We start from the raw sequence: 21,233 nt of genomic DNA, 5'->3' as shown, positions 1-21,233 counted from the left end.
GTCAGTCACACGCACTCAAGACTTGACTTCAGAAGTGAGTTAATTGTGAGAAAGATCAGGTATGAGGCATTGCCTGTGCTCGTGCAGACAGGGCAGAACTGGTGGTGGTCCCAGAGTTGGTACCACTTCAGCAGGAGAAGCTTCCTGATCAGAGCAGCAGCTCCTTCAGTAGCCCACCTGGGGAGTAAGGCTTTGGGAATTCATCCTAGTGTCTGTCTTCTCAGCTTAGCGTCTTCTCTTGAGTCCTACTAATAATTACGGGGGTTTGTTTAATATAAACTATACTAAATCCCTTCCTGCTTAAAACAGGGCAGATTCTGTTCTCTGCCATTGAATCCTGACTAATAGGATGGTTTTTATACAATTCCATATATCGGGCCCAGAAACAATAAGAGGTCCCAAGATCATCAAAAGAAGCATACTCTCTCAACGGCAATGAGACTGATGCCCAAAGTGGAGATTTTTTGTGGCTTCAAAGAGATGAGTCATAATTCTCCAGATCCATAGAAAATGAGGCACATAGATAACCCCCTGTGACTGTCCATTAGGAGAAGATGATTTCTCACAGGCTACTAAAATCCATTTCTGATGTTTGGTTGGGATATTTGGTTCCAATTAGGAGGAACATGCCATACCTAATAAAACACTGTGGACAGAGAAAACAAACAGTAGTGTAAAAATGAGCCACAAATCTGCTATGTTAATAAATCTAACAAAAATTTAGTGTCTGACATTCACCACCTAATTGTCTGTGCTACTCCTGGAACCAATTACTAAGCTCCGGAAATTATGAAATCCTTATTATCAAAGTAATATGAAGAATTCAGACATTTAAAGTAAGATCAATGGTTACAACAGGGCTTTTCAGTAGGTGCAGTGAAGGGAAATGCTCTAGAAGCCACTGATTCCTTTCAACTTCCCCTTTGCTTTTATGTCTCTGCTATTCCCTGTAATCCTCTAATATGCCACATCCAGTTATAAAGCTCAGAGAAAACATTCTAACTTGAGGGTACTGATCAGTGATTCAGTTTCTTCTCTTACAGGCAACTCTACCTCATACAGCAGCACGAAGTCATTCATACAGTCCCTAGATCAAGAACTGGTAAATATGGTCAATTAGGAAGAAGTTTTATATTTTTATGATTTTTAGACAACATTATGGTTCTAACTTTTAAAATTCTTGTTTCTAACAAATGTCATTTAACTATAGCTAATGAGTCTCCCAAGTAAGAGCAGATGATAATAGAGCTAATATACAATAAGTAAAGGGATACACAGTGTTATAGCTCAAAAGTGTTAGTAATTTACTTGAATCTGAAAAACATCAGAAAGAAGAAAAAGTTAGTTCAACTGAGAGCTGCCAAAATAGTCATCTTATGAGTCGATGTCTGGCCATAATTTTATCTCAACAAAATAAAGGCTTTTGTGATATGATTTATCATCTAATATTGATTACTAAATGCAAAGAAGTTCAACTTTATTTATTCAAGCAAAGGACAATTTAATTCACAACTGTTTGCTTGAATCTCATTTAAAAGTTTTAAAGTCATGAATAAGGTTTTAAAGTTATTAATGTACCTATTTAATTTTATGCTTGGTATGAAGTCATCTGTAACTTTCACAGAATATTAACCATAATCACCTCTGAAGCACTGCAGCACTCAGTCATTTCTTCACCTCTCAGGTCTAGAGGAACCTTGGTTGGTTAGGTAGAATTAGTCATTCACTCTGAATACCCTCTGGGACTACATGATTATAATCCCCAAGATTTGAAAAAGAAGCTATCTGGGTGTCAAAGACACTTTAGTTGTCAAGGGGCGATCCTTAGCAGGATCACAAATGAATTCAAAAATCAGATTGGACAAATCAGAATGGATACAAGAAGATAACAAATGCTTGACTGGCTATTCAGGTTCCCAAGCGGACAGAAGACTTGAAGTGGCAGCCAGGGCAGGCAATGCCACCTACTGGTCAGCCAAGGTAGAAAAAAGAAATAGCCTAGTGAATTAACTTCAGCCATACTAGGCCATTTGGTGTTGTGACACAGTGCAAAATCTCCTTCTAATTAGTGAAATAAACATCAGATCATCTGCAATAACCTTTCTGGAATATAGCTACTTAATTTTAAAAGAATAAACCAAAGTGATTATGTTTATCAAAAAAGTCGAAAAGGAGAACCACAGACACATTCCATAGGATTTCAGAATGAGCCCTCTTTAAAATGCCACTGTCTCTATTTCAGTCTATCTTCCTATTTCAGAATTTCCCTGGACCTCATTCAAATTGGAATTCAATAAGGATGTCCCCATTACAAATGAATATTTGATTCTCTGGAAAGGAACATGATTGATTTCATTTTTTAAATCAACACAGTTACAGTCTGAGTTCAATATTGAGGGAAGCCTCATGAGTATTCCTTATTCATTAACGCACAAGTTAATATGTTGAAATTGACTGACTTTATGTATAGGAAAGCATTGAGTAGCAAATATATTAAGGGAATTTAGAATCATCTCTACAAACTCACTCCTTCGGCATACAAATTAGAGTTTTAGTCCAGAAGTGGGCTTCTGAAGCAATATAACTTCCCAATTCATTTCTCAGAACTTAAATATCCTCAGAATTTTATAAGAAGTTAATAACTTTCCATGGTCCATGAAACCTCAAATGCTAATTCCATTTTCAAATGGTAAATGGCACACAAAGTATTTGATAACAAGCTGCTACTTCTTAAAATTTTCTTTCATACTGTCATAAAAAAGCCTAAAGAACAGAGAAATCATCCTTTTCTGAAACATAAACAATAATGACTCCAGAAAGCAAAATACCCACTGTCCAAGTCAAATCAATTAAACCATGAAATCACCTTAACCAGAAGAAGCTTGGAAGGATTCTAAGGCCAGCCCTCATCCTCATTCTCCAAGAAATGGTCAGAACCTTTCTTGTCTTAATCTTTTTCCTTAAGTCATACTAGTAAGAATTTATTATGCCAGTGATCACAGGATTTTAAAAAGTTCCAGACAATAATTACTAATATTAATATTTTCAAACCTAAAGAATCACTAAAGTCCTTGAGCATATGATTTCCAACCTAAAATCCATCACATAACCATTTAAATCTACTTCGTGTTGGCCTGACCGCTGTGAAGCTATTCCCTTACTCAGGCTGTAGAGAGCAGTTAATTGAATCTATAACTTTGGTCTCCAGGCTTTAATCCCCTACTCAACTTTCTTAGTCAAGTGACTAGTACAATTTACATTGTTCTGGTAAAATATTAACAGAATCAACTTTGGAGAGAATCCAGGACTTAAAACCAGGTTCAAATCCTGTCTTTGCCACTAACCAAATATGTGCCCTAGAGCAAATAATTTAATTTCTCTGGGCCTGTTTTTTCATTTTTAAAGTGGGGGTAATCATTACCTACTTCAAGGATTGGTAAAGATGAGGTGAGGTGATCCGTTTCCTGTGCTGGGCACTCAGTAAGCATTCAACAAATATTTGAAGTTCCTCATCAACAATTTTTTTTTAATTTTCAATATACACCAGGCTCCATGCTAATTGCTGCAGCTACAACAGTGAGAAAGACAGAAACGATCTCATCCTGAATGATATTCAAGTAGAGAATAGCATAGAAAGCCTACTAATACAATAATTACAAACAGCGATGTGTTATGATGGAAACAAACAAGGGCTGAAATCGAGAACACAGAGAACAAGGGAAGGAAGAAGACCAAGAAAGCCTTCTCCAAAGAAGTGGCATTTAAGCTAATAGCCAAAGGAAGACAAGGACCTGGCCATGCAAAAAGAGGAAGGGTGTTCACGGCAGAGAAAACAGCAAGTAAAAAAGCTCTGAGAAAGGTAAGATATTGAAAGTGAAAGGAAGTTCAATGTGACCAGGGCATAGAGCTAGGGGGAGCATGGCAATGGGGTGGACAGGGCCGTAGAGGCCACTAAAGAAGCCTGAAGAGGAGGGATGTGATCCCATTAATGTGTAGCAGAAAGGATCATTCTCTCATATCCTAGACAGGGTTCTCATGCTAGTTTTAGGTCAGCCTCCCAAGTGCAGGCACAAAGGCTTCCCCACCATTCCACCAGGTGTCCAGGGAACCACCTCTCTTTTTCTAAGTCTTACATGTGTTAGGTCATGTCATCGCAAATAAAGAGGCTGGGAGTGGGGCATCCACAGATATAAGCCAAAAAAGTCTAGGCTGATGGGGTGACACTCCAGCTGGACAGTAACAGGCAAGGCTGCTGACAAGCAAAATCCTCACCTTTGTTCTCAGGCTTTAGGACTCACATTGAATTACACCACCAGCTTTCCTGGTTCTCGGGGCTGTCGATAACAGACTTTCGAGGACTTAGCCTCTATAACCATGTGAACCAATTCCTATAATGTTCATATCTATATATTTGTCTTTGTGTAGGTATATATGTGGAGATGTGTGTGTATATCTATATGTACATCTATATATATATACGTGTGTGTGTGTGTGTGTGTGTGTGTGTGTGTGTGTGTGTGTATCTCCATCCTACTGTTTCTGTTTGGAGCTGTATGTATATCTCCATCCTATTGTTTCTGTTTCCAAGAACCCTTCCAGTGTTCCCACCCCACACCTCGCTGTGGTCACTATAAAAAAAACTCCTCCTGATCTGTGCCATGCTGAAAGATCAGGATCTTTTGAAGACTTTTGTTCCTGTCTAAACGCTCCATGTGGCCACAATATGCGTATGAAAAATCAAGGACCAGTCTTCTTCTATTTGAATGTCTAAAGGCATCACTCTCCCCATCCTAAACACACACACACACACACACACACACACACACACACACACACACACACACATTCTTTATAGCCTTTAGTCTACACCTGTGAAAGTTCTTCCTTTTGCCTCCTCTGTCCTTCCAGCTTTCTCACAGTAGACTCTGTGGGCCCTACAGTGGCAGAAGATGAATCATCCAAAAACAAGTGTCTCTTCCCTCAGAGACAGAGGGGCTTAATATCAAGCCCTTCCAGAGAAGAAAGAAATGAGACATTTACATTCTCACTTAGGGAAAAAAAAAGCTTCACCCTCATGTCCTGCCATAGCATTTTCACAGTCCAAAATGGAGGAGGGCAGGAGCTGAAGAAGGAGCAGCAGCCCAGAGATGTGAAGATGTGACAGTGAAACCGAGAAGAAGGGCCATATTGGGGAAGTAGTTTGGAGATACAATGAAAAGAACTTGCTGATGCATTTGGTGCAGCAGGTGAAGGAGCAGTGAGGGGAATTCTGATGCCATTTCCTGTCAGAGAAAACTGAAAGAAACAAAACTTTTAAGAAAAATCTAAAGTGTTATCCTGGACATGCTAAAGTTTCAAGACACCAAGTGGAGATGTCAAGGAAGAAGTGGAATTGAGTTCCGAGCTCAGAGGAGAGGTCTGGACTGTGGATATGTACTTTGGAGTCATAAACATAAAGATGTTAAAAGCCATGGGAATAAATGAGTCACCTAAGAAAAGAGGGTGGGGTGGGGGAAAGGAACCCAGGTCAGACACCTGAGGAGCCTCCATGGAGGGAGGCTGAATAAAGAAGAAGAGAGCCAGCAAAGAAAAGAGTAAGAAAGGAGGGATGTTGCCAGAAGATGGCTACGAGGTGCCCATGGACCTTCTCTCAAATATCACAGCATTCTTCCACCATTCCCCGAATTTGCAGAATTTTATTTCCGCATTTTTCTCCAGTGCTACTGCAGAAGAGGTCATGTTTTGCTTTATGGGAAAGAAAGTATTTGGTTTATTTCATTTGTATATTTCCATTTACTTTTCACTGAATAGTTGTTAAGAATTAAAACTAATCAAACTATGTATATAATAACCTATCTAAACCACAAGGGGGTAGAAATTCTAACTTTTAGGGAAACCACTTTCCAAGGCTAAATTAATTCACTGAATCTGTAATTTTTAAAAATCAGAAACATTATTTTTCAGATGACATATAAGATAAAGCATAAATTGTGTTCAGTACCCTACCTCATACATGAAGGGATGCTGGCTAAAAGAAAATCTAGACAAGGAGAATTAAAGTAGCATTTTTATAAGCTTAGCTTTTGCATAATCAAAACCATAGCACTTGCTGTCTTTGAGAGAGGCCAGTCTTCTTATCGTGCATAGCAATTCCATTCCACGAAAAGCAGAAATGTTCTTTGAAAACCATTGTTTCAGAAGATCCTCGTCTGCAAAACTATAAGAGGATAAAATACCTTACAAGGGTAAGTAAATAGCTAATATTTATTTGTATCGTTGGTAAGCATCAAACACTGCATATAAACCGAGGCAAAACCATCATATGGATTAATCCATAGTGTGTCAATCAAGAAGTCTATTTCACTAAGGTAACCAATTATTCCAGCATACCAAGTTATATTTAGAAAATTGGCTACTTTGTAAAATTAAGAGCTATCCTACTGTCATAGGCAGCGTTTTGTCATACTACCTTATAGTCCATGTTAGCACTTATCTGATTGTATTAGAAATCTCTTCATGTCTCTGCTTACCTTGACAGATCATAAGTTCTTGAAGTCATGTCTATCTTCTCACTGTAGTGCTACGTCAGGGCCTTCAGAGACCTCAAAGTAAAGGTCTAGGATTCACCTCCATTAGGATCACCTGGAGGACATGTCAAAATGCAGATTGCTGGGCCCCCCTTAACATATGGAATTAGCATAGTATTTGCAAGGATTTCCAACAGCTCTAATAGGCCTTTCAAACTGTATCAATGAAGATAATAAATCCCAAAGGCATACTGCCTAACAACTATAGGTTGACATTTCTTCTACTTATCGACTTACACTATTGTTCGGAAACTACTCCCACAATACTTGTTGAATGAAGGAACAAAGGATAAAGTGTCACCCTGGGTAAACCTCCATCTTATAATACAAACAGCTTATGACTATTTTATATTAACAGTATTATGGCAGTGCTTATCTATGCATCTTTACTGAATCACGGCAAATAATTTGGGGATTTTAAATAGAACTTAGAGGTTATACCTTCTATAAAATATGTTAAGAAAAAATATACCAAAGATATGTTAAAACCATAAAGGCCTGAACAATCACATGTGTTATCCTTATCATTTATTTAAACAATATTAAAGAGTCTAAAATTATTAAAACTCTAACTCTATTTATGATGAAAATAGTCATCAGTTTTTTCATGAAAAAGTACTTATTTTAAGGAGTCATATTTTAAATATATGGTGGGAGGTGCCTGTAATCCCAGCTGCTCGGGAGGCTGAGGCAGGAGAATTGCTTGAACCCTGGAGGCGGAGGTTGCAGTGAGCCAAGAAGGCACCACTGCACTCCAGCCTGGGCAACAAGAGTGAAACTCCGTCTCAAAAAAAAAAAAAAAACCATATATATATATATAAAATAGCTTTACAAATAATTCACTTTTTGATCAACATATGACTAAATCTGTACATCTATTAATATAAATATAGTAAACAATACATTTTAGAATGGTTCCAAAATATAATTTACACTTTCATATATTAAGAGACTCTCAAATTTCAATCTCAAAAGTTTTTAAAGTTTAAGTAATGATTTTCATCAAAAAAAGAAAAACCTTTTTTTCCCACAAAAATAGAATGTTTTATCTGCATAGTCAATACTATTGCATGGCACAAACAGTTCAAAACATTAAATATTGACTCAAAATTACCTTTAAGAAGTTTTTTCAAATTTCTCCTTTCTGTTACTGCTTGAAAAATATCTATGGTTATACTTAAGTCTTATGAAGACTGTATCCAACTGAATTAAAGATGTCACATTCAATTTTCACACTCCTAGCAGATAATAACCATGAGTCATTTCTTAGAACTAGGTTTTCAGGTAATAGGGTAGGGACAGGCTGTACCATTTTGTACACTTCACAATTTTAGAAATATTTTATCACCATGACATGTGTAAGAACTTGTAATTACTTTATCTCCTTCAATCTGTGTCAAGAAGATAATAAATGTGCATTTTATACAGGGCACTAATACTTGGAACTGTGAGTTGAATAGCATCTCTTGTGTCTCTATTCACTAATAGCTTGGGTAAAACACTTAACTGTCCTTCTAACCTAGTATCTCCACCAGAGTAATGGCAATGTTATTGGTATCCATATATATTTAGATATATCACAGAGCAAAAGGGCCATTATATGATCAATCTTTTACATCTTTGGTTGATAACTGTACTCTTTTTAGAAGAACCATTACGTTGAAAACTCCATTTTGCTACTACGTTAGACAGGCAATAATTGAAGGAGACCAGGGAGTCTCTAGAAGTGATAAAGGTCTAGCAATAAATAACATGGGACTGGCCTGGTGCAGTGGCTCGTGCTTGTAATCCCTTTGGGAGGCCAAGGCGGGAAGACTTCTTGAGCCCAAGAGTTTGAAACCAGCCTGGGCAACATGGCAAAACCCCATCTCTACAAAAGTACAAAAATTAGCTGGACATGGTGGTGCACATCTATAGTCCCAGCTCTTGAGAGGCTGAGGTGGGAGGATCACATGAGCCTGGGTAGGTCAAGGCTGCAGTGAGCCATGATCAAACCCCTGCACTCCCACTTGGGCAACAGAGTGAGACCCTGTCAATAATAAACAAATAAATAACATGGGACTAAATAAAGTTTTACTTGGAATATGTGTACCCCTGCACTCCCACTTGGGCAACAGAGTGAGACCCTGTCAATAATAAACAAATAAATAACATGGGACTAAATAAAGTTTTACTTGGAATATGTGTATTTGCTAAAGTTGCAAGGGAAAATATTGCAAATTATACATCATTTGAAAAATTATCTCTCTTTAGTTAATTTTCAGTCACAATATTGGATGTAGCAGCTCCAAATAGAGGTTACCTGATTATTGCTTTTATAATTGAATTCTTAAAGAGTTTACATCATAATTATATAATTGTATTTTTGAAACATCACAGAAACCCAACATGTACCTATTTGTAATCATCAGAGTATATACATCTGATTAGGACTCAGCTATGTTCAAGGCCTCATCGAGCCCAACATACAATTATCATTTGCATTTTCTGCTACAATCAAAGAAAACGCATTGTGTGCTATTAGTGGCCATTGCAAGAAGGAAGATGCTGTTTTCAATAACAGGAAATCAAGAACAAACAAAATAATCATCTTCCATTTAAAAAAAAAAAGCCTACAGAAAAGTGAAAAGGACAGGGTCCTAAAAACATCTAGTGATGCCAATAAAATGGAATGTTTTTTAAAAAGTGATTTGTCTCACTGAAGCTGCAGAAGGGTATCCCACACTTATATATTATGTGACTGCACTAAAAACAGACGCTTTTGGTGCACTGAGCGTTACAAAAAGGCAGAAAGCTCACAAATAGATGCAATTTTAGGTATGGGAATAAAATGACATAAAGAAACTGACCTTGTTATCAGTTTAGCTGTAGAGGTGAAAGATAAGGATATTTCAAGGAAAAACCTATTACAGGCAGTATATAGAGTACTTGGGCCCAGTTGAAGCCCAGGTAATGTGATGATAGTAATGATAATGGTCCACTGAATGCTAACAGACAAGTATATATAGTTACAGCTGTACATGGATATCACAACCTTACACACAAATTCTAGAAAGATCATTGTGAAAATGACATTCCATAAATCACATGGAATCAGCACCAAGTGTGTCTTTATGCATGCCCAAAAAGGAAGGAGAAACTGACAACCATCAATAATGAACAATGACTTATTTCAAATCTAATATCTAGTGCTGATAAATTTATTTTGTTGTTGTTGTTTAAACGAGAATGTTTCTATGGGCCTCCTAAGTCATCTTATGCCTAAAAATAACAGCTCTTTTTTTGTGTCTTTCCAAGAGAGGTAATATTAAGAATTAATAGGTATTTCAGAACCTCCAAAACGAACTCACTAAACGAGTACCAACAAGTTACAACCTGAGCTGGATTTTATTTTCAAATGATAAGCAACAGCAATAAGGCAGTCCATATTCTATAAGCTACTTTTGTTACACATTAATGACTAAAACAGCTTCTGTGCAGATTTCAAATTAATCGGACAAAGAATATCAGCTTTATGGCATTAAACTCATTTGAAAAAGGAGTGGATGGCAATACAACTAAAGTTTTACCAGAAAACAAGAGTTATCTAAGCAATAATCCAGCAAGAAAAGAGAACTACTTCTGATTTCCTAGAATACATCCCTAACAGGTTATTATTTCTGATTACCATGGCAGCACACAGCATTTTCCATCTAACACTTTACAAAGATGCTTGGTCATGCCATGCTCTGCTGTATTAAATGATCTTTGTTGAAACCATTCATTTCCATTTCTCTTACACCTACGAAATGTCAAATAAGAGTGATAAGACAGTCATTTACTCTCAATTTTCTCTTTAATTTAGAGTGTATTAGAACTCTAAAATAATAGACTAATATATTTTCTCAATTCTCCCTTCCTCCTTTCTTTCCACTGGAAGGAAATCTATTTCTGATAGCATTTCTTCTAAAGTTTAGGGAACTAAAAAGTGCTGCTGTTTAACCAAAAAAAAAAAAAAAAAAAAAGTTCTAAAGCATAGTTATTTTGAGTAAATATCTTTCCAAAAACTCTACAAAAAAATATAAAATCTTCCCTGGAGTGCTTATAAAAGGTAACATAAAAGTGGCTATGAGTGAAAAAAAGAAATAATGTTTTAAGGACTGAAAAAAAAATCAAATGCAAGTAGTTCTACCCTACCCATCTCTTTTTTACCCTTCTTTTACACATGCAGAGACACACACACACAGCACAGATTTCAACCACAAGTTTTAAGAGCATGTATAAAGAAGCATACAAGAAAATCAATCAATCTTTGTTTTACAAAGAGAGAAAGTTGGCCATAGAAATCAACATGCCACAGGAATCTTCCTTCCCTTACTCAGAGGATCAAAAAAAAACCAATGCTTCTAGACCAATAAGGGGCATAATTCACCTTTCATTTCCTGAACATATCCTGTTCAAACTAGGATAACACAGTGAAGATACTATGAGGTAAATCATACTCCAATCCTAGTTTACATTAAGATTTTGAAAAAAAACTACAAAGCTATTGAAATCATCTATTTATATGTGAAAAACAAAGCATGGGTATTAATGGAGAAGAAAATCATCTGTCGAGAAATACTCCTTAAAACTTACTTTTAAAAACCTTTTGAATGAATATTACAATTGATCCTTATTTAGGTCATTTCTCTTAAGCATACTACATCAGCAATGTTAAAAAGTGCCCAGAAATCAAAATTACCAAAATTATATTTCAAAGAATATATTCCATACACATGAAATTAAACCAGAGTTAGTAAAGGTGTCCAAAAACAGATCTTATAGGACTTTTTAAAAAAGAGAAAAAAAAGAACGATGGGTTGTTTCTTCAGAGATGGAGTGTACACATCATAATCCTCTTCGTTTGGCATCACCAATGACTCCCCAAACATCAAAGACAAATTCGTCTGGGAACGCAAAGTCTCCAAGAGTTTCGTCAAGTGCCACAGCAAATTCATCTGGATTTACTTTGTCCTTTCCAGCTTCAAACATTGTGGTGGCTATCAAAAATAATATTAAAAAATTAACAATAAATGAAATAGCATCAAAGGACTGAGAAAAATGGCAACAGGAAAATTACTTGCTAAAAGTAACATGCATAAATATATTTCAAATTAAATGCAAAATTAAATGCAAATTAAAACAGTAAGATACCCTCTCTCACACACACACATCAAGGTGGCAAAGATACTTTTCAACAATGTGTCCACTGAACCCAGGTTTGCAGCTGCCACCCTTGCCCCCTACCCAACCTTGGAGCCCATCAGTTGGGAACCTCTGGCATTCCCATGGGTAGAACAAGATCCCCTGAAAGAAACCCTGTGGCTGTGACTAACCCTAGCAGGAAACTTAAAGAACACCCCTTCCCCAACCTCCTAATAGTCACTACTCTCCCTCCCTCCTCCACCAGTCCCCCACTGCCAACTGAGATGGAGTCCAGTCCTCCCTGCCCAAAGACAAAAAGACAAAGGATGACAGCTTGCACTGGAGCAGTCAAGCTGGGGAGAAGCAGAGGAAGACATCTGTCTACCTGTGGAATCAAGGTACCTTTTCTGAGCCCCTCTCCAGTTTGGGATAGAACATGAAAGTGGCGGCCTTGTTCAGTTTTTCTACTAAGTTGCCTGGGTTCCATATTCTATGTCTTGGAACCAGCATCTTCAGGAGTACTTAGGACTTGCCCCAGCTGTCTGGGAGCCCAAGAGGCTCAGTGGATTTCCACTCAGCACCCTAGAAGCACCAGCAACCAGAAAGAGATGGTGTATATGTGATGTGGGACTTGGGTGAAAAACCTCCATGTGAAAGGGAAACGCCAAAGCCCCAGGGAAAAGCTCCAGCATCTCCTTTCCTTCCAGGTTAAGGATGAACTAATCCAAGTTTGTATGACTTCTCTGAACGAGCCACAAGGTCTAGAGAGATAAAAGCTATGCCTCTTCCCATCAGTTCAGTCCTAACACAAGGCAGGCTAGGAAGAAAAGGGAGAGATGTGGCCTACAGAAGAGCACCAGGATCAGAGCAGAAGTAGGGTGGGGGTGCAGTGAACTAGTAGAGGGATCAAACCTCTAGTAAGGTAAGGAGGGCTTCTATATGGCCAGGCAGCCTGGCATGGGGTGGGAGAGTACAGATGTGGTGAGGATGGCATGGGAATGGGGAGGGAGGGCAGCAGCCACGGTGATAAGAGATTAGTTACACATATGGAGATGGATCACATACATACACACACACATACATACACACACACACACACACATACATACACACATACACAGACACATACATACAGAACAACAGGAATCAAGTTTGTCACTGCCAGAAAAGGATAAATAGGGAAAGGGAGAAAATAAGAATGAACCCTATGGAATTAGAATTGTAGATATCACTGGAAATATATATATATCTCCAATTGAGGTGTTATAAAAATACAGACATAAATGCATACATGCATGTGTATACACATTCCTCAGTCCTGGAAGCATGACATCCCAACTACAATGAGTACACAAAGCACCGAAATCTTGGTTCTTAAATACCATTCTCCATTAGAAAGACTAAGACTTCCTCAGAAAAATGGCAGATTCCAGGGCTAGAGCAGGCAAAGTGCAATATGAACCAAGACTATCTTGTACCAGAAAGTAAGAAAGTGTCACAAAATGATGGGAACATGTGAAAAGGATATAGATGTCAGAGTGCAAGAGTTCACACTGACCAAATCAGGGATAATTTAAATATCCAAATAAGTAATGATGGTAATATATTATAACTCCAGTGAATAGAACAGGAAGCCATGAATCCATAATACATACATACACACACACACACACACACACACACACACACACACACAATTTTTTTTTCCTTGTGTAACCAATGTTTATCTTTAAAACTAAACCCTAGTGGCAGTCTAATCTACAGAACCCTTGGTTCTCACTACACTACACTACATTAATGCTGTACCCTCATAAATCTGACCACTCAAAATGCTATCTTCGCTGCTTTCTGCCTTTGCCCAGGATAACCTCCTCCTAGCCACCAGCACCACCATCAAAATCCTTCTCTCCTTCAAGGCTCTCTCCTCCATGAAATCCTTTGTCCACAGCTGGAAGAGATATCCCCATTCTCTAAACCCTTCTGCCAGTGTTTTTCATGCTTAAATGCACAAACAAATCACCTAGGATCTTGGCAAAATGGAGATTTTGGTTCAGTAGTTCTGCAGCCCTGAGATTCTGCATTTTCAACTCCCAGGTGATGCTGGTCCTCAGGAAACACTTTCAATAAAAAGGTCTTAGACTGCAAATTCAACATTGCTCTGCACTGACATTTATTTTTCTGTGTATTTTTTTCTCTCCTACTAAAAGAATAAACTCCCAACAGATCTTGAGTAGCTTACTCAGTCTTTTATGCCCGTAGTAACTAATTCAGTGTCTCATGCATAATAAATGCTAGTGAATGGGTGGTGCAAGAGGAGGGTGTGTAATTACACTTACATACTTTTTGCACAGGCACAGTTAGCATGCACTGGGGAAAGTGAAGTCCAGAACTCTGGTCTCATAGCCAGGATGTAAAAGAAGAGTAGCCAGAATGTTAAGGTGAAGTACTGCTGAAGTAGAACTCCAGTTCAGAATTTTGCTTACTCTACCATTTTAACTCTTTCTCATAGGCTTTACAGGTAGCATTTATTAAGACAACTACCTAAAGATTATAATGACATATGGGTAACACATGTTAAGAAAGCTAGCTGAGGAAGAAATAAGATGCATACAGATAAAAGACATAAGAAAATGTACGGACCATTCAGAAACAGAAACTAACAGTATAGATGACACTCTTAAATGCTGGGGGAGACAATGACAAGGATGCAGATGTTCACTGATGGACACTGAATCAATTTCTCTCTCTACACACACACACACACACACACACACACACACATCCTTGGCTATAAGAGGGAAAAAGAAACAACTTGGTACATGATTTTTTTTTTATACCTCAGGAAGCTCAGCAGCATTGTCTAGTGCACTAAGCCCGGGAACTCCATGTTGTAGATTTCACCTGCACTGACTTGCAATGTCTGCTTTGGGTTTCTAGTCACAAAAATGAAAGAAAATGCTGCTTCAAGATGCCCATAGTCTAACCTCACAGTCCAAAATGCATAATCTCGCTCATGCACTCATTCTGGCACAGCAGAAAAGTGAAGAAAAACCCCCACACTCAGTACTGCCCAGAGCTGCTGATACAGTCTAGTTATACAGCTCCACATGTTCTCCCTCTATTACCACTGCCATTACAACTACTAATAGTAATCATCATTAGTGATCATCACTAAGAATGATAATACCTACACCCATTATTATTTATGATGTGACAGGACTTTATACAGATTATTTGATTCCTTGGCAACCCTATAAGATTATTTTTATTATGTCCCTTTTATAGATGTGAAAATTAGGATTCTAAGTTTAATAATTTGCCCAAGGGCCAAAGCTCCAAACTAATAAAATTAGGACTCATGCTCCCTGTGAATTCACTACTTTTGTGACTCTCAACAGACATTTATCAAGTACTTACTCTTGGAGAGGTACTGTGGTAAGAGCTGGGATTAAAACTGAGCAAGATATGGTATCTGCCTTCAAAAAATACCTGATCTTGTAGAAACAACAAAAAAATGCCAATTACACAGCTACATAATTGTGCTGGAAATACTGCATGTAATACAGTGCTCTATACATCTTTTAAAAACCAGTAATTTGCTATATGAATTCAAAAATGCAGCATGCAGCTAAATATGTTATATATTTTTCCTAATACATAAAGTATAAACATCGCTTTTTTATTTTATTTCTCATCCTCAGCTGGGTTTGGTGAACATAGCTTTTAAGACATCTTTACAGGATAAGTAAATGGTAAAATTCATCCTTTTTGATAAAATATTATAGCTCTGATTTAAGAGAAAAGCAAAAGAAAATTTAGCAAAATAAAACACTTTTTATAAAGGTACAGCATATTAACATAAGATAGCCACTAAGATTATTTTCATCTGTTGATTATAATAAAATTACAATATACTGCAATAATAAACCTGAATGCAATCTGGCAAAAAATATTCCATTAGAAGAGTAGAATTTTCTTTGGGAGGCCGAGGCGGGTGGATCACGAGATCAGGAGATCGAGACCATCCTGGCTAACACGGTGAAACCCCATCTCTACTAAAAATACAAAAAATTAGCTGGTCGTGGTGGCAAGCGCCTGTGGTCCCAGCTACTCGGGAGGCTGAGGCAGGAGAACGGCGTGAACCCAGGAGGCGGAGCTTGCAGTGAGCCGAGATCGCGCCACACTGCACTCCAGCCTGGGCGACAGAGCAAGACTCTGTCTCAAAAAGAAAAAGAAAAAAGAAAAAAAAGTAGAATTTTCTTACAGTATAATGTTTAGAAACACATGAGAAAAAAAGAAAAAAATAGATTTAAAAAATAGTAAATGTTTAACCTGTAATCCCTGCTACTTGGGAGGGTGATGTAGGGAGACTGCTTGAGTCCAGGATTTTGAGATCAGCCTGGGCAACATAGTGAGACCCCATCTCAAAAAGAATTTTCTTAACTGTAAAGAGAATTTTTTTTTACCACATATAGCAGCTAAGTGCTGACCTCTAGTGGCCATTTTTATTACTGCCACTGGACTACATTTACATTATTATTAATGACAAACTTGTTTTGGTGATACAGATCAACATATAATTTCCATTAACTTTTTAAACACTTAAACAGAACTTTTAAATATAAGATATTTACGGTTAAAAATCTTTACGGTTAAAAATCTTGGTATCAAAGTTTCAGAATTAAATCTTAGTTTTTAACTTCTTAGGTAACTTTGGGCAAGTTATCAAACTTCTCTGAATGTCAGTTTTCAAATCTATAAAATGGCAAATAGCAGGGTTTGAAGATTAGTCATCATTATTGCTAGTTTAATCATAAAATATGCAACTACGTCTCATTCTATGGAAGGTCTTCAGGCCTTACTTTTCCTAAGACTTTTTATAAATATCAATGCTTTTCAAACAATTCACAAGTCAAACATCAAAAATGCAGTCAATGTAGAATGATTTTTAATGAAAATTTCTAAAACTTCATTGGCTTTATCTGAAAAGGATGACTTTCTATAGTGTTCATTGTTTTGAATTCACTATAAAAAGAAAGTGATCTGGCCCGGCATGGTAGCTCATGCCTGTAATCCTAGCACTTTGGGAGGCCAAGGCAGGTGGATCACAAGGTCAGGAGTTCGGGACCAGCCTGGTCAACATGGTGAAACCCCATCTCTACTAAAAATACAAAAAATTAGCTGGCCATGGTGGTGGGCGCCTATAATCCCAGCTGCTCAGGAGGCTGAGGCAGGAGAATCGCTTGAACCCGGGAGGCGGGGGTTGCAGTGAGCGAGATTGTGCCACTGCACTCCAGCCTGGGTGACAGAGCAAGACTCTGTCTGAAAAAAAAAAAAAAAAAGTGATCCTAGGAAGAAAGGAAGAAATGTAATTCTCACTATTAAAACACCATTACTGCATACTTTTTCAAGAGCTATAACAGACTTCATATCTGCTCCAAAAGCAAAGTAGTAAAATTTTTAAAAAGAAAAAAAAAAGAAAAGATTTTATAGAATAAATGACTTTGAAACAATCATTCAAATCTTCTTTCCACACATCTCAGGATCTCAATAAATTTGAAACCCTAAAATTCTGAAGTTGCTTGGATGATCTCCTAAATTGGTATCATCAGAAAACATTATAGTTCTATACACAACTTACACAGTTTCTTTAAACATTCAAGAAGAAACTTGTATGACACAACTTTCCACTGAGTTAGGTCAAGACCATGTGAGGTCTTATAGGACTCAGCATCTTTTAGAACGCTTAATTTTTTTCATGGATAACATCCCAAGGTGACCCATGTTGACACTGGCTGGTAGAAAAGTCATCGTTCACAACTTAACTTTACAATCAAATGAAGCACTTTCATCTTCAGGATTACTCTCTACAAAAATTCATTTAAATTATTTTCCATTTTCAAATAATAAACACCTCTTAATCTTTTTTTGAGGATAGTGTTTTAAGTCACGTTGTTGCCATATTACTTTTTAAATTTTTAAGATATATACTTACGTTAACAAATACAGAAAAATGTGATGTCAGTGTAATTTGCATTAAGAATTAACATTTCTGAAAGCTAAGAAATACTGAGAATATTTATACAAGTAAATATATTTGTCTGTTAAATCAGTATCACACTTGTGATTTATATTTCATGCTAATCAGATCTGAATAATGAAAGAAATTCCTAATTTAACAATGGCTTACATTCTTCAAATAATTACTTTCCTTACACTTTACCTCTCTAGGTAACTGATTACATTGCTAATCATGTGTAATGATAATGGCTTTTCATGTCAATTAGAGGAATTTGTTACAGATAACTAATTCACCTTACAAATAAATTTCTGGTTAATTTACAAAGAATTTGTAAGGAATGTTTAGTGCCCTGAATTTCCTTTTTTTAAGCTGCATTTTCTTCTTTTTTTTTTCATTTATTTATTTATTTATTTATTTTTAGAGACAGGGTCTCACTCTATTGTCCAGTCTAAAGTGCAGTGGCGCCATCCTAGCTCACTGCAGCTTCAAACTCTTGGACTCAAGCGATCCTCCTGCCTCAGACTCTCAAGTGGCTAGGACTTCAGGTGCATGCCACCATGCCTGGCTAATTTTTTTGTTTTGTTTTGTTTTTGTTTTTTTAGTAGAGACAGGGTCTCATCTCACTATGTTGCCCAGGCTGGTCTCTTTTAGGGTTAGGGTTAGGGTTAGGGTTAGGGTTAGGGCCTCAAGCCAAATATGTATGCCTGTAAGCAATACTATATCATATCTCTTTCACTGTATGTGAGCATAAATACATCTATGCGTATGTGTGTATGTATATGTAAAAATTCATGTACACATATATACATTTGCTTCCCTCCTGTATGGAAAAATACCACTAAAGAATGGCCCACAGTCTAGACTGTTGTACGAATAAACATTTCTATTCTAAATTTGATTTATGTACACGTTGATGCCTCTATTTATATGTTACATATTTCCTTATATGTCTAAAAGTATTCATGTTTATGTGTATGTCTGTCTTTATTCCTAGTTAGATCTTTTCCTAGGCCCTGTGTCTGTGATTCACTCCAGACCACAGCATGGATTCTATTGTTCCTTGAGATCTGCAATTTCAAAACAGGAGACTGAGGCTGGGCTTAGCGGCTCAATGCCAGTAATTCCAACACTTTGGGAGGCCAAGGCAAGAGGATGGCTTGAGCCCAGGAGTTCAGGACCAGCTTAGGTAACACAAGTAGACCCCAGCTCTACAAAAATTAAAATTAAAAAAATTAGCCAGGCAAAAGGATTGGAAAGAGAAGTTCTCAGACATTGGTTTTCAGCTTTAACTTCTTGTCTGCACAGAGGATAAAAGCATCCACACGAAAATTTTGTATTTTTCTCCAAGGAGCAAGGAACAAACTACCAATGTTTTTAAGTTGCAGACAGCATCTCTATATCCAGTACAGAAATTTTATTTTAAAAGTTCTCAGGGCTGGCAATGATGGCTCACACCTGTAATCTCTCCCTGCACTTTGACAGACGAGACAGGGGGATCACTTGAGCCTGAGCAACATAGCAAGACCCCATCTCTACCAAAAAAAATTTGTTAAAGTAAAATAAAATAAATAGCTGGGTATGGAGGCACACACCTGTGGTCCTAGCTACGTGGGAGGCTGAGGTAGGGGAAGTGCTTGGGACCAGGACATCAAGGCTGCAGTGAGCTATGATTGTGCCACTGCACTCCAGCCTGGGTGACAGAGTGAGATCCTGTCTCAAAAATTAGAAGATAAATAAAAGTTCACACAGGCAAGAAAGAAAATAAGAATAGATTGTTAAATAAAATTTATAGGAGGTGATTGGTTTGGACTGAGCTCCTATACTAGGCCTAACAGACCAAACCAAAATGGAGTTACTCATGCTGAAGTTCCACTCACTAAGCCAAACTAAGTTGTTTATCTGACCTTCCACAAAATCAGGAGAAAGACAGGTAATAGCCAAATCCCCAAATGGGCCAGTTTTAGCTGGCATGATAAGGAAATTCCCTCTGTTTTCACCTTTACGAAGAAAGTAACCTTGCAACAGGAACCCACTTTTTGTTATGTTTCTGATTTCTTCAGCCATTTTCTGACTCTAAAGTCAACCTCCTCTGCTCAGCTCATCAGAGCACTCATTTTGAGGTGTTGCCTGATACTAGAGTTGCAAATAAAAGCCAGTTGAGATTTTTAAGGTAAATTTGTTTTGTCTTTTGGTAATTCTATAAGGAAAATGGAATATGAGTGGAAGTAGAAAAGGATAAATGAGCTTCAAATACTCTACCTGGTAGCAGATAAACAAAATAGTCAAGTTCTTACCTTTAAAAAATGTAGAAAGTACCTGATTCAAATGCATACCTGTGGATGCATGCAGACATAAACCCCCACACTGGAGTGTACATTTACTCTCTTTTCTCTACCCAGCATGCAACTGCCCTACTTAGTGGAACATTTATCTTGCTTCTGCATGGGAAGGGTCAGGCCTTTTTCACACTCTTGACCCTTGTATTTCAGGGTCACTGTCAGTTCCAGAGCGTTCAACCCAGACCTACCATCCTCTTGGCCTCAGTGACTGGCTCACTTGAGCCAATCAGACCAACCAGCGACAATATTGGGCATTTTGTTTGAATGATTTGGAAGAGGTCCTCCCTCTTTCTCATTGTGCTTGATGCCACGAGGATGCAGAGGGTGGAGCAATAGCAGTCATTTTGGCCCCATGAGGGAGAGACTGAAGCTGCCAGGGGATACCACAGGGGCCTGAAATGAAGCCAAGACTGAGAGAAGAGAAATCATATCCTGATGACAGCATGAGAACTTGGGATCCAGCCATTCTTGAAGCCAAGGTCTAGCGCTAGACTTTTCAATTATAAGAACCAATAAGTTTCTCCTTTTTTTTTTTCCTTAAGCCAGCTGGAATTAGGGTTTTTTGTTTGGTTTTTGTTTTAGTCATTTGCAACTGGTAGAGTCTTAACTGATAAACAAGACCCTGACAGCCTAATGATGACATAAGAAATACGCAGAAATTCAACTGCTCAACTGCCCTTCTCAGTCATATGCCAAGTGTGTCCCCTTTCTTCATATTTCTAATTCCTTGTTCATAGGGCTTCAGTAACCCTGTTAAAGGGTGCAATTCAATCAATGCACTTCTGATATATCAAATAATAATGCCTTTTATATGTATCATCTACAAAATTCATTTTATGTATATTTTTTAAATCCAAACAAACAACACTAAAGGAGATAGTAGTCACAGTTTAATGACTAAGAACTAACTAAAATGTTTTAAAGTTTACTTGGCACTAAGACCTCATAGCTAGAAAGCGGTAAGGAACAGGTCTTCATTATTCTTATCTTTATGTCTGTTATTCTTTTCATCATACCACAAATATTGTTATCTTCAAAAGTATAATTGGCTGTATGTATAAACAAGACATAAACATTAAGCAGATTAAGAGATATAAGACTTTTTTAAATAGTATAATC

General features: G+C 37.5%; 1 protein-coding gene and 1 long non-coding RNA gene across 4 annotated transcripts in view, besides 3 other annotated features; one reads left to right on the top strand and one right to left on the bottom strand.

Moving 5' to 3' along the window:
- Positions 1-600: 600 nt before the first annotated feature.
- On the top strand, positions 601-21,220 carry LOC107984997 (uncharacterized). The gene is made up of 3 exons (XR_001738110.3): positions 601-3,859; positions 12,019-12,151; positions 20,265-21,220. It is a non-coding gene; the product is annotated as an uncharacterized LOC107984997 (long non-coding RNA).
- Positions 3,613-3,782: an enhancer, noted in NCBI's record as "active region_1233". NCBI's record gives its function as "activates an Ori minimal core promoter by ATAC-STARR-seq in GM12878 lymphoblastoid cells {active_cell/tissue: GM12878}" and the evidence as "EXISTENCE:reporter gene assay evidence [ECO:0000049][PMID:35858748]".
- Positions 5,079-5,128: an enhancer, noted in NCBI's record as "active region_1232". NCBI's record gives its function as "activates an Ori minimal core promoter by ATAC-STARR-seq in GM12878 lymphoblastoid cells {active_cell/tissue: GM12878}" and the evidence as "EXISTENCE:reporter gene assay evidence [ECO:0000049][PMID:35858748]".
- Positions 5,299-5,358: an enhancer, noted in NCBI's record as "active region_1231". NCBI's record gives its function as "activates an Ori minimal core promoter by ATAC-STARR-seq in GM12878 lymphoblastoid cells {active_cell/tissue: GM12878}" and the evidence as "EXISTENCE:reporter gene assay evidence [ECO:0000049][PMID:35858748]".
- GIPC2 (GIPC PDZ domain containing family member 2) overlaps positions 8,756-21,233 on the bottom strand; it is a 93,475-nt gene continuing 80,997 nt past the window's right edge. For all 3 annotated transcript variants that reach the window (NM_001304725.2, XM_047423230.1, NM_017655.6), the window contains exon 6: positions 8,756-11,608. In NM_001304725.2, coding sequence (NP_001291654.1) covers positions 11,457-11,608 — 152 coding nt within the window. In that variant the 3' untranslated portion in view covers positions 8,756-11,456. The remainder of the gene's footprint in view (positions 11,609-21,233) is intronic.

Source organism: Homo sapiens, chromosome 1 (genome assembly GCF_000001405.40).
Source record: "Homo sapiens chromosome 1, GRCh38.p14 Primary Assembly".
Classification (NCBI taxonomy): Eukaryota; Metazoa; Chordata; class Mammalia; order Primates; family Hominidae; genus Homo; species Homo sapiens.
The sequence above is the reverse complement of the archived record's forward strand: the minus strand, read 5'-3'. Positions and strand labels throughout refer to the sequence as shown.